At 35.8% G+C, this 15,632-nt stretch overlaps 11 annotated features.

Moving 5' to 3' along the window:
• Positions 405 to 1,021: an enhancer, noted in NCBI's record as "NANOG hESC enhancer chr7:61782262-61782878 (GRCh37/hg19 assembly coordinates)". NCBI's record gives its function as "activates a minimal SCP1, AML or CMV promoter by ChIP-STARR-seq in primed H9 embryonic stem cells {active_cell/tissue: H9 hESC(primed)}" and the evidence as "EXISTENCE:reporter gene assay evidence [ECO:0000049][PMID:30033119]".
• Positions 1,243 to 1,859: an enhancer, noted in NCBI's record as "OCT4-NANOG-H3K27ac-H3K4me1 hESC enhancer chr7:61783100-61783716 (GRCh37/hg19 assembly coordinates)". NCBI's record gives its function as "activates a minimal SCP1, AML or CMV promoter by ChIP-STARR-seq in primed H9 embryonic stem cells {active_cell/tissue: H9 hESC(primed)}" and the evidence as "EXISTENCE:reporter gene assay evidence [ECO:0000049][PMID:30033119]".
• Positions 1,860 to 2,476: an enhancer, noted in NCBI's record as "OCT4-NANOG-H3K27ac-H3K4me1 hESC enhancer chr7:61783717-61784333 (GRCh37/hg19 assembly coordinates)". NCBI's record gives its function as "activates a minimal SCP1, AML or CMV promoter by ChIP-STARR-seq in primed H9 embryonic stem cells {active_cell/tissue: H9 hESC(primed)}" and the evidence as "EXISTENCE:reporter gene assay evidence [ECO:0000049][PMID:30033119]".
• Positions 2,477 to 3,093: an enhancer, noted in NCBI's record as "OCT4-NANOG-H3K27ac-H3K4me1 hESC enhancer chr7:61784334-61784950 (GRCh37/hg19 assembly coordinates)". NCBI's record gives its function as "activates a minimal SCP1, AML or CMV promoter by ChIP-STARR-seq in naive H9 embryonic stem cells {active_cell/tissue: H9 hESC(naive)}" and the evidence as "EXISTENCE:reporter gene assay evidence [ECO:0000049][PMID:30033119]".
• Positions 3,094 to 3,709: an enhancer, noted in NCBI's record as "OCT4-NANOG hESC enhancer chr7:61784951-61785566 (GRCh37/hg19 assembly coordinates)". NCBI's record gives its function as "activates a minimal SCP1, AML or CMV promoter by ChIP-STARR-seq in naive H9 embryonic stem cells {active_cell/tissue: H9 hESC(naive)}" and the evidence as "EXISTENCE:reporter gene assay evidence [ECO:0000049][PMID:30033119]".
• Positions 4,362 to 4,984: an enhancer, noted in NCBI's record as "OCT4-NANOG hESC enhancer chr7:61786219-61786841 (GRCh37/hg19 assembly coordinates)". NCBI's record gives its function as "activates a minimal SCP1, AML or CMV promoter by ChIP-STARR-seq in primed H9 embryonic stem cells {active_cell/tissue: H9 hESC(primed)}" and the evidence as "EXISTENCE:reporter gene assay evidence [ECO:0000049][PMID:30033119]".
• Positions 4,985 to 5,607: an enhancer, noted in NCBI's record as "OCT4-NANOG hESC enhancer chr7:61786842-61787464 (GRCh37/hg19 assembly coordinates)". NCBI's record gives its function as "activates a minimal SCP1, AML or CMV promoter by ChIP-STARR-seq in primed H9 embryonic stem cells {active_cell/tissue: H9 hESC(primed)}" and the evidence as "EXISTENCE:reporter gene assay evidence [ECO:0000049][PMID:30033119]".
• Positions 5,608 to 6,229: an enhancer, noted in NCBI's record as "OCT4-NANOG hESC enhancer chr7:61787465-61788086 (GRCh37/hg19 assembly coordinates)". NCBI's record gives its function as "activates a minimal SCP1, AML or CMV promoter by ChIP-STARR-seq in naive and primed H9 embryonic stem cells {active_cell/tissue: H9 hESC(naive and primed)}" and the evidence as "EXISTENCE:reporter gene assay evidence [ECO:0000049][PMID:30033119]".
• Positions 8,376 to 9,070: an enhancer, noted in NCBI's record as "OCT4-NANOG hESC enhancer chr7:61790233-61790927 (GRCh37/hg19 assembly coordinates)". NCBI's record gives its function as "activates a minimal SCP1, AML or CMV promoter by ChIP-STARR-seq in naive H9 embryonic stem cells {active_cell/tissue: H9 hESC(naive)}" and the evidence as "EXISTENCE:reporter gene assay evidence [ECO:0000049][PMID:30033119]".
• Positions 12,327 to 12,827: an enhancer, noted in NCBI's record as "OCT4-NANOG-H3K27ac hESC enhancer chr7:61794184-61794684 (GRCh37/hg19 assembly coordinates)". NCBI's record gives its function as "activates a minimal SCP1, AML or CMV promoter by ChIP-STARR-seq in naive H9 embryonic stem cells {active_cell/tissue: H9 hESC(naive)}" and the evidence as "EXISTENCE:reporter gene assay evidence [ECO:0000049][PMID:30033119]".
• Positions 12,828 to 13,328: an enhancer, noted in NCBI's record as "OCT4-NANOG-H3K27ac hESC enhancer chr7:61794685-61795185 (GRCh37/hg19 assembly coordinates)". NCBI's record gives its function as "activates a minimal SCP1, AML or CMV promoter by ChIP-STARR-seq in naive H9 embryonic stem cells {active_cell/tissue: H9 hESC(naive)}" and the evidence as "EXISTENCE:reporter gene assay evidence [ECO:0000049][PMID:30033119]".

Consider the following 15,632-nt stretch of genomic DNA (forward strand, 5'->3'; position numbering starts at 1 on the left):
AATCGAATGGAATCATCATCAAATGGAATCGAATGGAGTCATCATCGAATGCAATTGAATGGAATCGTCATCGAATGGAATCGAATGGAACCATCAACGAATGGAATTCAAAGGAATCATCATCGAATGGAACCAAATAATATCATCAAATGGACTTGAATGGAATCATCGAATGGACTCGAAAGGAATCGTCATCGAATGGAATTGAATGGAATCATCGAACAGAATTGAATCAAATCATCATCGAATGAAATCAAAAGGAATCATGGAATGAACTCAAAGGGAATCATCGAATGCACTCAAAAGGAATCAACATCAAGTGGAATCAAATGGAGTCAAATGGAATCATCAAACGGACTGAAATGGAATCTTTGAATGGAACCGAAAGGAATCATCATCAAATGGAACCGAAAGGAGTCATCATCGAATTGAATCGCATGGAATCATCATCGAATGGACTTGAATGGAATCATCATCGAATGGAACCGAAAGGAGTCATCAACGAATGGACGCGAATGTAATCATCATTGAAAAGACTCGAATGGAATCATCATCGAATGGGTTCGAATGGAATCATCATTGAATGGAATCCAATGAAATCATCGAGTGGACTCGAATGGAATCATCATCAACTGGAATTGAATGGAATCATCGAATGGACTTGAATGGAATCATCGGAGAATGGAATCGAATGGAATTATCGAATGGACTTGAATGAAATTAACTTTGAATGGAATCGAAGGGAATCATCAAATGGAATCGAATGCAATCATCATCGAATGGAATCGAATGGAATCATGGAATGGAATCGAATGGAATCACCATTGAATGGACTAAAAAGGAATCATAATTGAATGGAATCGAATGGAATAATCGAATGGACTCGAATGGAATCATCATCGATTGGAATCAAATGGAATCATTGAATGGAATCGAAAGGAATCATCGTCAAATGTAATCAACTGGAAACACTGAATGGATTCGAATGGAATCATCATCGAAAATAATCGAATAGTATAATCGAATGGAATGGAATGCAATCAACATCGAATGGAATCGAATGGAATCATAGAATGATATTAAATGGAATCATCATTGAATGGAGTCAAAGGGAATCATCATCGAATGCAATGGAAAGCAATCACTGAATGGACTTGAATAGAATCATCAAATGGATTTGAAGGGAATCCTCATCGAATGGAATAGAATGGAACCATTGAATGGACTTGAATGGAATAATCATCGAATGGAATCAAACGGAATCATCACATGGACTCGAATGGAATCATCATCAAATGGGATCATAATCAAATGGAATCAAATGGAATCATCGAATGGACACGAAAGGAATGAACAAATGGACTCGAATGGAAACATCAAATAGAATCGAATGGAATCATTGAAAGGAATCAAATGGAATTATCGAATGGACTCGAATGGAATCATCGAATGGACACGAATGGAATTATCATCAAATGGAATCGAATGGATTCATCAAATGGAGTCGAGTGGAATCATTGAATGGACTCGAATGGAATCATCAAATGGACTCCAATGGAATCATCATCAAATGGAATCGAATGGAATCATCAAATGGACTCGAATGGAATCATCAAATGGAATCAAACCGAATCATGATCGAATGGAATTGAATGGAATCATCTAATGGACCCGAATGGAATCATCTTTGAATGGAATAGAATGGAACCACCTTTGAATGGAATAGAATGAAATCATCTTTGAATGGAATATAATGGAATCATCATCGAATGGAATCGAATGGAATCATGTAATGGACACGAATGGAATCATCATCAAATTGAATAGAAAGGAATCATCACCAAATGGAATCAAATGGAATCATGTAATGGACATGAATAGAATCATCATCGAATGGAATTGAATGGAATCATCTAATGTACCTGAATGGAATCATCACTGAATGGAATAGAATGGGATCATCAAATGGAATCGAATGGAATCTTCATCATATGGAATCGAGTGCAATCATTGAATGGACTCGAATGTAATAATCGCAGAATGGAATTCAATGGAATCATCGAATGGACTCGAATAGAATCATCATCGAATGGAATCAAATGTAATCATCTAATGGACCCAAATGGAATCATCATCGAATGGAATCGAATGGAATCATCGAATGGACTCAAATGGAATCATCATTGAATGGAATCGAATGGAATCATCGAATGGACTCAAATGGAATCATCATCGAATGGAATCGAATGGAATCATCGAATGGACTCGAGTGGAATCATCATCGAATGGAATGGAATGGAATCATCAAATGGATTAGAATGGAATCATCATTGAATTAAATCAAATGGAATCATCGAATGGCATCAAATGGAATCATCATTGAATGGAATCGAATGAAATGATCTAATGGACTTGAATGGAATCGTCGTTGAATGGAATCAAATGGAAACATCGAATGGACATGAATGGAATCATCATCGAATGCATTCGAATGGATTCATCATCAAATGTAATCGAATAGAATCATCATCGAATGGAATCGAATGAAATCATCGAATGGAATAGAATGGATTCATCTTTGAATGGAATAAAATAGAATCATCGAATGCAATCAAATGGAATCATCATTGAATGGAAACGATTGGAATCATCATCGAATGGAATTGAATAAAATCATCATCAAATGGAATGGAATGGAATCATCGAATGGACACCAATGGAACCATCATCGAATGGAATCGAATGGAATCTTCTAATGGACTCAAATGGAATCAACATTGATTACAATCGAATGGAATCATCATCAAATGGAATCAAAAGGTATCATCATCAAATGTAATTGAAAGGAATCTTTGAATGCAATAGAATTGAATCATCATCGAATGGAATCGAATAGAATCATCGAATGAAATGGAATGGAATCATCATTGAATGGAATCAAATGAAATCATCATCAAATGGAATCAAACGGAATCATCATCAAATGGAACCGAATAGAATCATAAACGAATGAAATCAAAAGGAATCATCACTGAAAGGAATCAAATGGAATCATCAATGAATGGAAACAAATGGAATCATTGAATGGAATTAAATGTCATCATCATCGAATTGAACCCAATGGAATCATTAAGTGTACTCGAATGGAATCATTGATTCGACTTAAATGGAATCACCATCAAATGGAATAGAATGTAATCATCGAATGGAATTGAATAAAATCATAATCGAATGAAATCAAATGGAATCATCGAATGGACTCGAATGGAATCATCATTGAATGGAATTGAATGCAATCATTGAACAGACTCGAATGGAACCATCATCGAATGGAATCGAATAGAATCATCATCAAATGGAATAGAACAGAATCATCATCAAATGGAAGCAGATGGACTCATCGAATGGAACAGAAAGGAATCATCATTGAACGGAATCAAATAGAATCATCGAATGAAATCAAATGGAATCATCATCGAATGGAATCGAATGGAATCATCATTGAATAAAATTGAAATTAATCATCATTGAATGGAATCCAATGGAATTATGATCTACTGGAATGGAATGGAATCATCAACGAATTCAATTGAATGGAGAAATTGATTGGAATCCGTTGGAATCATCATCGAATTTAACCGAATACAGTCATCATCAAATGGAATCGAATGGAGTCATCATCAAATGGAATAGAAAGGAATCATGTTTGAATTGAATAGAATGGTATCATCGAATGGAATAGAATGGAATCATCATCGAAAGAAATCAAAGGGAATCACCAAATGGAATCGAACGGAATCATCTAATGGAATTGAATGGAGTAATCATCGATTGGAATCAGATGGAATCATTGATTGGTATCAGATGGAATCATCGAATAGACTCGAATGGATAATCGAATGGACTTGAATGGAATCATCAAATGGAATCGAATGGAATAATCGATTGGACTCGAATGAAATCATCATCAAATGGTATCGGATGGAATCAATGAAGTGACTTGAATGGAATCGTCGAATGGACACGAATGGAATCATCATCGAATGGACACGAATGGAATCATCGAATGGAATTGAAAGGAATCATCATGGAATGGAATCGAATGGAGTCATGATCGAATAGAATCGAATGGAATCATCATCGAATGGAATTGAATGGAATCATCATCAAATGGAATCCAATGGAATCATCAATGAATGGAGTCGAATGGAGTCATCAAATGCCATTCTTTGGAATCATCATCGAATGGAACTGAATGCACTCAGCATCGAATGGAATCAAATGGTATCATCAAATGGACTCGATGGAATCATCATCACATGGAATCAAATGGAATCATCTAATCGACTTGAATGGAGTTATCTTTTGGTGGAATCGAATGGAATCATCGAATGCACTCGAATGGAATCATCATTGAATGGCATTGAAAGGAATCATCAAATGGACTTGAATGGAATCATTGAATGTACTCGAATGGGATCATCATCGAATGGAATCGAATGGAATCATCGAATGGTCACAAATGGAATCATCATTGAATGGAATCGAATGGAATCATCGAATGGACACAAATGGAATCATCATTGAATGGAATTGAATGGAATCATCGAATGCCATCCAATGGAATCATGATCGAATGGAATCTAATGGCATCATTGAATGGAATCGAGTGGAATCATCGAGTGGACTTGAGTGAAATCATCATGGAATGGAATCGAATGTATACATCGAATGGACTCGAACAGAATCATAATTGAATGGAATTTAATTAAATCATAATCGCATGGATTCGAATGGAAAAATCATCGAATGGAGTTGAATGGAATCATAATTTAATAGAATCGAATGGAATCACCGAATTGAATCAAATGGAATGATCATCGAATGGAATCAAAGGGATTCGTCAAATGGGATCTAAAGGACTCATTGAATGGAATTGCTTGGAATCATCGAATGGATTCCAATGGAATCATCTTCGAATGGAATCAAATGGAATCATAGAATGGAATCAGATGGAATCATCAATGAATGGAATAGAATAGAATCATCAAATGAAATCAAATGGAATCATCATCGAATGGACTCAAATGGAATCATCATCGAATGGACTCGAATGCAATCATCATAAAATATAATCAAAAGAAATCAACATCGAATGGAATCAAATGGAGACACCATCGAAATGAATTGAATGGAATCATCATGGAATTGAAACGAATGGACTCATCATCAAATGGATTCCAATGGAATCATTGAAAGGAATTGATTGGAGTCATGATCAAGTGTAATCGAATGGAATCATTGAATGGAATCGAATAGAATCATCATCGAATGGAAACGAATGGAATCATCATAGAATGGAATCGAATGGATTTATTGAATGGAATGAGATGGAATCATCATTGAATAGAATAGAATAGAATCATTGAAAGAAATTGAATGGAATCATCATTGAATGGACTTGAATAGAATCATCATCAAATGGACTCCAATGGAATCATCATCCAATGGAATCGAATGCAATCAACATCGAATGGAATCGAATGGAAAAACCATCGAATTGAATCGAATGGAATCATCATGTAATTGAAATGAATGGACTCATCATCGAATGGATTCTAATGGAATCAATGAATGGAATTGTTTGGAATCATCATCGAATGGAATCAAATGGAATCATTGAAAATAATCGAATGAAATCATCACTGAATGGAATCGAATGGAATCATCAAATGGATTCGAATGCAATCATCGACTGGGCTTGAATGGAATCATGAAGGAATGGAATCAAATGGAATCATCGAATGGACTCGAATGGAATCATCATCGAATGGAATCAGATGGAATCATCGAATGGCCTTGAATGGAATCATCGAATGGACTCGAATGGAATCATCATTGAATGGAATTGAATGGAATCATAGAATGGACTCGAATGGAATCATCATCGAATGGATTTGAATGGAATCATCGAGTGAAATCGAATGGAATCATCATCGAATGGAACCGAATAGAATCGGTATCGAATAGAATCGAATGGAATCATCATCTAATGGAATCGAATAGAATTTTCTTCAAATGGAATTGAATGGAATCATCATCGAAGAGAATCAAATGGGATCATCGAATGAAATCGAATGGAATCACCATCGAAAGAATCGAAGTAAAACAAAGAATGGAATACAAAGGAATAATCTAATGGAATCGAATGGAATCATCATTGAATGGACTCGAATGGAGTCATCATTTAATGGACTCAAATCGAATCATCATTGAATGGAATTGAATGGAATCATCTATTGGTCTCGAATGGAATCATCATCGAATGGAATCGAATGGAATCATCATCGACTGGAATTGAATGGAGTCTTTGAGTGAAATCGAGTGGAATCATCATCGAATGGAACCAAATAGAATCGGCATCGAATAGAATCAAATGGAATCATCATCCAATGGAATCGAATGGAATTTTCTTCAAATGGAATCGAGTGGAATCATCATAGAAGAGAAACGATTGGGATCATTGAATGAAATCGAATGGAATCATCATCAAAAGAATCGAAGTAAAACAAAGAATGTAACACAAAGGAACCATTGAATGGAATCGAATGGAATCACCATCAAAAAGAATCGAAGTAAAACAAAGAATGGAATACAAAGGAATCATCGAATGGAATCGAATGGAAGCATCGAATGGAATCATCATTGAACGGAATGGAATGGAATTGTCATCGAATGGAATCGAATGGAATCATCATGTAATAGAATCTAATGGAATGATCAACGAATGGAAACGAATGGAGAAATCAAATGGAATCCGTTGGAATCATCATCAATGGAATCGAATATAGTCGTCATCTAATGGACTCGAATGAAATTATCATCGAATGGAATCGAATGGAATCATCAGCAAATGGAATCGAAAGGAAACATTAGGGAATAAAATCGAATGGAATCATCAAATGGAATGGAATGGAATCATCAAGGAAAGGAATCAAAGGGAATCATCGAATGAAATCGAATGGAATCATTTAACAGAATCAAATGGAATCATCATCAAATGGACTCGAATGGAATTATCATCGAATGGAAGGGAATGGAATCATCGAATGGACATGAATGGAATCATCATCAAATGGAATCGGATGGAATCAAAGAAGGGACTTGAAAAGGATCATCGAATGGACACGAATGGAATCATCATTGAATGGAATCGAATGGAATCATTGAATGGATTCGACTGGAATCATCATCGAATGGAATCGAATATGATCATCATCAAAAGAAATCCAATGTAATCACTGAATGGACTCGAATATAATGATCAAATGGATGCGAATGGAATCATCAAATGGAATTGAATGGAATCACTGAATGGACTCGAATGGAGTCATTGAACGGACTCTAATGAAATCATCATCAAATGGAATCAAATGGAATCATCAAATGGACTCGAATGGAATCATTGAATGGACTCGAATGAAATCATCGAATGGACTCAAATAGAATCATAATCAGATGGAATCGTATGGAATCCTCAAATAGAAAATAATGGAATCATCAAATGGAATCGAACGGTATCATCAACGAATGGAATCAAATAGAATCATTGAATGGAATCGAAGGCAATCATCATCTAATGGAATCTAGTGGAATCATCGAATGGAATAGAAGTGAATCATCATCAAGTGGAATCGAGTGGAATCTTCAAATGCAATCGAATGGAATCATTGTCAAATGGAATCGAACGGAATCAGTGAATTAAATTGAATGGAATCACCAATGAATGGAATCGAATGAAATCATCATCGAATGGAATCGAATGGAATCTTCGAATAGACTCAAACAGAATCATCATCGAATGGAATCCTTTGAAATAAACTAATGGGCACGAATAGAATCATCATCTAATGGAACCGAATGGAATCATCTAATGTACTCGAATGGAATCATCATTGAATGGAATAGAATGGAATCATCGAATGGAATCGAACAGAATCATCATCATATGGAATTGAGTAGAATCATCGAATGGACCCGAATGGAATCACCATCGAATGGAATCATCATCGAATGGAATCAAATGGAATCATCATTGAATGGCATCAAATGGAATCATCGAATAGAATCAAATGGAATCATCATCAAAAGGAATCGAATGGAACCATCGAATGAAATCGAATGGAATCACCATCGAATGGAGGCGAATGGAGTCATCATCGAATGGAATCTACTGGAATCATCAGTTAAGAGAATCGAATGGAATCATCGAATGGTATCAAATGGAATCATCAACAAGTAGAATCGAATGGATTCATCTAATGGAATCCCATGGAATAATAATCAAATGGAACCGAATGGAATCATTGAATGGACTCGAATGGAATCATCATCGAATGGACTCTAATGGAATCATCATCGAATTGAATCGAATGGTGTCATTTAATGGACTCAAGAGGAATCATTGAATGGACTTGAATGGAAACATCATCGAATGCAGTCAAATGGAATCATCGAATGGCAACGAATAGCATCATCAATGAATGGAATCTAAGGGAATAATCAAATGGACTCGAATGGAATAATCGAATGGACTCGAGTGGAATCATCATCATATGGAATCTTCAAATGGACCCGAATGGAATCATCGAATGGACTCGAGTGGAATCATCATCATATGGAGTCTTCGAATGGGCTCGAATGGAATCTTCATCAAATGGAATCGAATGGAATCATCAAATGGACTCGAATGGAATCATTGTCAAATGGAATCTAATGGAATCATCGAAAGGACTTGAATGAAACCATCATCAAATGGGATCGAATGGAATCATCGAATGGCATCTAATGGAATCATCATCGAATGGAATGGAATGGAATCATCTAATGGACTTTAATGGAATTATAATCGAATGGTATCGAATGGAATCTATGAATGGACTCGACTGAAATCTTCATCGAATGCAATCGAATGGAATCATCCTCAAATGGAATCGAATGGAATCATCATCGAATGGAATCGAATGGAATCATCCAATGGAATAGAATTTTATCATCATCAAATAGAATCAAAGAGAATCATCGAATGGCATAGAATGGACTCATCATCAAGTGGAATGGAATGTAATCATCGAATGGAATCGAATGGAGTCATCATCAATGGAATCAAATGGAAAAATTGAATGGACTCAAATGCAATAACCGAATGGACTCGAATGGAATAATCATCGAATGGAAGAGAATGGAATCATCGAATGGACTCCAGTGGAATTATTATTGAATAGAACAGAATGGAATCATCTAATGAACTCGAATGGAATCATCATCGAATGGACTCAAATGGAATCATCGAATGGATTCGAATGGAATCATCATTGAATGGAATCCAATGGAATCATCGAATGGAATCATCATTGAGTGGAATTGAATGGAATCATCGAATGGACTCAAATGGAATCATCATGGAACTGACTCGAATGGAATTATCATATAATGGATTCAAATGGAATTATCGAATGGACTTGAATGGAATAATTGAATGGACTCGAATGGAATCATCATCGAATGGACTCAAATGGAATGATCGAATGGACTCGAATGGAATCATCAATTGGACCCAAATGGAATTATCAAATGGGCTCAAATGGAAATATCGAATGGACTCGAATGGAATTATTATCAAATGGAATCAAATGGAATCATTGAAAGGAATCAAACAGAATCATCGAATGGAATCAATCAGAATCGTCATCGAATGGAATCAAATGGAATCATCGAATGGAAATTAATGCAGTCATCATCAAATGGAATCGAATGGAATCATCTTTAAATAAAATCGAATGGAATTATTGAATGGATTCGAATGGAATCAACATCGAATGGAATCGAATGGAATCATCATCAAATAGAATAGAATGGAATCATCGAATGGAATCGAATGGAATCATCGTCGAATGGAATCGAATGGAATTATTGAATGGAATCCAATGGAATTATCATGGAATGGAATTGAATGGAATCATTAACGAATAGAATCGAATGGAATCATTGAATGGTATCATCATCAAATGGAGTCCAATGGAATCATCAAATTGACTCGAATGGAATCATCATCAAATGGATTCCAATGGAATCATCGAATGGAATCGAAAGGAATCATCATCAAATGGAATCGAATGATATCATCGAATGCACTTGAATGGAATCATCAACGAATGGAATTGAATGGTATCATAGAATGGAATCGAATGGAATCATCTTTGAGTGGAATCTAAAGGATTCACTAAGTGGACTCCAATGGAATAATCATCCCATGGAATTGAGTGGAATCATTGAATGTACTCGAATGGTATCATCAAATGGAATCGAATGGAATCATTGAATGGATTCGAATGGAATAGTCATCAAATGGAATCAAGTGGAATGATCAAATGGACTCAAATGGAATCATCATCAAATGGATTTGAATGGATTCATCGAATACACTCGAATGGAATCATCATCAAATGGAAATGAATGCAATCATCAAATGGACATGAATGGAATCATTTTCGAATGGAATCACATGGAATCATTGAATGGACTCGAATGCAATCATCGAATGGACCCTAATGGAATCATCATCAAATGGAAAAGAATGGAATCATCAAATGGACTTGAATGGAATCATCAAATGTACTCGAATGGAATCATTATCAAATGGAATCAAATGGAATCATCAAAAGGAATCGAATAGAATCATTGAATGGAATTGATCAGAATCATCATCGAATGGAATCAAATGGAATCATCATCAAAAGGAATCGAAAAGAATCATCATAGAATAGAATCGAATGCAATCATCGAATACAATAGAAGGGAATCATCATCGAATGCAACCAAATAGAATCATCGAATGAAATTGAATGGAATCATCATCGAATGGAATCTAATGGAATCATCACCAAATGGAATCGAATGGAATGATCAACAAATGGAATCGCATGGAATCATTGAATGGAAACTAATGGAATCATCATCACATGGAACCGAATGGAGTCATCATGGAATGGAATCAAATGGAATCATCATCCAATGGAATCGAATGGTATCACTGATTTGAATGGAATGCTCATCGAATGGAATCAAAGGGAATCATCGAATGGGAGCTAACAGAATCATCGAATGGAATCGAATGGAATCATCATATGGATTCGAATGGAGTCATCATCAACTGCATTCAAACGGAATCGTCATCGACTGGAATCGAATGGAATCATCATATGTATTCGAATGGAGTCATCATCAACTGCATTAAAACGGAATCGTCATCGACTGGAATCAAATGGAATCATCATCAAATGTTATCACATGGAATCATCAATGAATGTAATCGAATGGAATCATCAAATGGAGTCAAATGGAATGATCATCGAATAGAATCGAATGGAATCATCAAATGGAATCGAAAGGGATCATCCAATGGAATCGAATGGAATCATTGAAGGGACTCGAGTGGAATCATCATCGAATTCAATCTAGCGGAATCATTGAATGGACTCGTATGGAATCATCATCGAATGGACTCGTATGGAATCATCGTATGGCATAGAATGGAATCATCATCAAGTGGAATGGAATGTAATTGTCAAATGGACACGAACGGAATCATCATCAAATGGAATCGAATGGAGTCTTCGAATGGACTTGATTGGAATCGTCATTGAATGCAATCAAATGGAATTATCATCTAATGAAATCAGATGAAATCATCATCAGATTGAAGCGAATGGAATCATCACTGAATGGAATGGAATGGAGTCATCAAACAGAATCAGATGGAATCATCATTGAATGGAATCGAAGAGAAGCATCAAATGAAATCAAATGGAATCATCAACGAATGGACTTGAATGGAATCATCATCGAATGGACTCGAATGGAATCATCGTCGAATGCATTCGAATGGAATCATCATCGAATGGAACTGAATGGAAACATCGTCGAATTGAATCAAATGGAATCATCATGAAATTGAATCGAATGGCTCATGATCGAATGGAATCATCATTGAATGGAATCAAATGGAATCATTGAATGGACTCGAATGCAATCACCGAATGGACACAAATGGAATAATCATCAAATGGAATACAATGGAATCATCGAATGGACTCGAATGGAATTATGATTGAATGGAACAGAATGGAATCATCGAATGAACTCGAATGGAAACATGATCAAATGGACTCGAATGGAATCATCGAATGGATTCGAATGTAATCCAATGGAATCATTGAATGGAATCGAATGGAATCATCACAGACTGGAGTTGAATTGAATCATCAAATGGACTCGATCGGAATCATCATGGAATGGAATCGAATGGAATTATCAAATGGACTCGAATGGAATCAACTTTGAATGGAATTGAAGGGAATCATCGAAAGGTATCGAATGCAATCATCATCGAATGGAAACGAATGGAATCATCGAATGGAATTGAATGGAATCATCATTGAATAGACTCGAATGTAATCATCATCGTATGGAATCGAATGGAATCATCGAATGGACATGAGTGGAAGCATCGTCAAATGGAATCAAGTGGAATCATCGAATGGAATCTAATGGAATCATTGTCAAAAGGAATGGAATGGAATCATTGAATGGAATTGAGTGGAATCATCAATGAATGGAATCCAATGGAATCATCATCGAATGGAATAGAATGGAATCATGGAATGGACTCGAATGGAATCATCATCGAATGGAAACCTGTGGAACCATTGAATGAACACGAAATGAATCATAATCGAATGGAATCGAAAGGAATCATCATTGAATGCAATCACATGGAATCATCACCGAATGTAATCGTACTGAATCATCATGGAATGAAATTGAATGGAATCATCAATTGGACTCGAATGGAATCATCAAAGGGAATTGATTGGAAACGTCGAATGGACTCAAATGGAATCATCATTGAATGGAATCGAATGAACCATCGAAAGGACTCGAATTGAATCCTAAAATGGACTCGAATGGAATCATCGAATGCACTCCAATGGAATCATCATCGAATGGACCCTAACGGAATGATCGAATGGACTCGAATGGAATCACTGAATGGAAATGAATGCAATCATCGATAGGACTCAATTGGAATTATCGAAAGGGCTCAAATGGAATCATCAAATGGATTAGAATGTAATCACTATGGAATGGATTCGAATGGAATCATTGAATGGAATTGATCGGAATCATCATCGAATGGAATCAAATGAAATCATCGAATGGAATTGAATCCAGTCATCATCGAATGGAATCAAATGGAATCATCATTGAATAGAATAGAATGGAATCATCGAATGGAATCCAATGGAATCATTATGGGATAGAATCAAATGGAAACACTGAATGGAATCATCATCAAATGGAGTCCAATAGAATCATCAAATTGACTCGAATGGAATAATCATCAAATGGATTCCAATGGAATCATCGATTTGACTCAAATGGAATCATCAAATGGAATCAAATGATATCATCGAATGCACTTGAATGGAATGATCAACGAATGGAATTGAATGGTATCATCGAATGGAATCGAATGGAATCATCTTCGAGTGGAATCTAAAGGAATCACTAAGTGGACTCCAATGGAATAATCATCCCATGGAATCGAGAGGAATCATCAAATGTATTCGAATGGTATCATCGAATGGAATCGAATGGAATGATCGAATGGATTCGAATAGAATAGTCATCGAATGGAATCAAGTGGAATGATCAAATGGACTCAAATGGAATCATCATCAAATGTATTTGAATGGAATCATCGAATACACTCGAATGGAATCATCATTGAATGGAAATGAATGGAATCATCAAATGGACATGAATGGAATCATTGTCGAATGGAGTTATATGGAATCATTAAATGGACTCAAATGCAATCATCAAATGGACTCGAATGGAATCATGATCGAATGGAATCGAATAGAATCATTGAATGGACTCGAATGGAGTGATCAAAAGGACTTGAAAGGAATTATCGAATGGACTCGAATGGAATCATTGAATGGACCCTAATGGAATCATCATCGAATGGAAAAGAAGGGAATCATCATATGGACTCGAATGGAATCATCGAATGGACTCGAAAGGAATCATCGAATGGAATCTAAAGGAATCATCATTGAGTGGAATCGAATGGAATCATCGAATAAAATCGAATGTAATCATCCAATGGAATCTAACGGAATAATCATCTAATGGAATCAAATGGAATCACCGAATGGAATCGATAGCAACAATCATCTAATGGAATCATATGGAATCATCATTAAATGGAATTGAATGGAATCTTCGAATAGACACGAATGGAATCATCATCGAATGGAAAGGAATGGAATAATCAAATGGACTCGAATGTAATCATCATTGAAGGGAATCGAATGGAATCATCAAATGGAATTGAATGGAATCATCATCAAATGAAATTGAACAGAGTCATCGAATGACATCGAATTGAATCATCAACGAATTGAGTCGGATGGAATTATCGAATGGACTCAAATGGAATCATCATCAAATGGAATGGAATAGAATCATCGAATGGACTCAAAAGAATCATCATCGAATAGAATCGAAAGGAATCATCAAATGTAATAGAAGAGAATCACTGAATGGAATCGAATGGAATCAAATAGAATCGTCATCGAAAAGAATCAAATGGAATAATCATCGAACTGATTCATAAGGAATCATAATCGAGTGGAATCTAATGGAATCATCATCAAAGGGAATCGAATGCCACAACTGAATGGACACGAATGGAATCCTCTTCGAATGGAATCGACCGGAATCATCAAATGGAATAGAAGAGAATCATCATCGAATAGAATCAAATGGAATCGTCAACGAATGGAATCAAATGGAATAATCATCGAATGGATTTATATGGAATCATCATAGAATGGAATTGAATGGAATCGTCTTCGAATGGAATCGAATGTAATCATCATCAAATGGGATCAAATGGAATCATCAAATGTACTCGAATGGAGTCACCATCAAATGTAATTGAATGGAATCATCAAATGGACTCGAGTGGAATGATCGTCAAATGAAATCTAATGGAATCATCGAATGGACATGAATGGAATCATCACTGAATGGAATCAAATGGAATCATCGAAGGGAATGAGATGGAATCATCATCGAATGGAATCAAATAGAAGCATTGAATGAAATCAAGCAGAATCATAGGCGAACAGAATCGAATGGAATCATCATCGAATGGACTCGAATGGAAACATAGTGGAATGGAATCAAGTTGAATCATCATCCAATGGAATCAAATGGAAACATCATCGAATTGAATCAAATGGAATCATCATGGAATTGAATCGAATGGCTCATCATCAAATGGAATCGAATGGAATCATTGAATGGAATCATCGAATGGAATCGAATGGATTCATCATCTAATGGAATCGAATGGAACCATCGAATGAAATCGAATGGAATCATCTTCGAATGGAATCGAATGGAATTATCATCAAATGGAATCTAATGGAATCATCAACACAGGGAATCAAAAGGAATCATCATCGAATGTAATTGAATGGAATCATCAATGAATG

This window comes from Homo sapiens, chromosome 7, assembly GCF_000001405.40.
Source record: "Homo sapiens chromosome 7, GRCh38.p14 Primary Assembly".
Taxonomy (NCBI): Eukaryota; Metazoa; Chordata; class Mammalia; order Primates; family Hominidae; genus Homo; species Homo sapiens.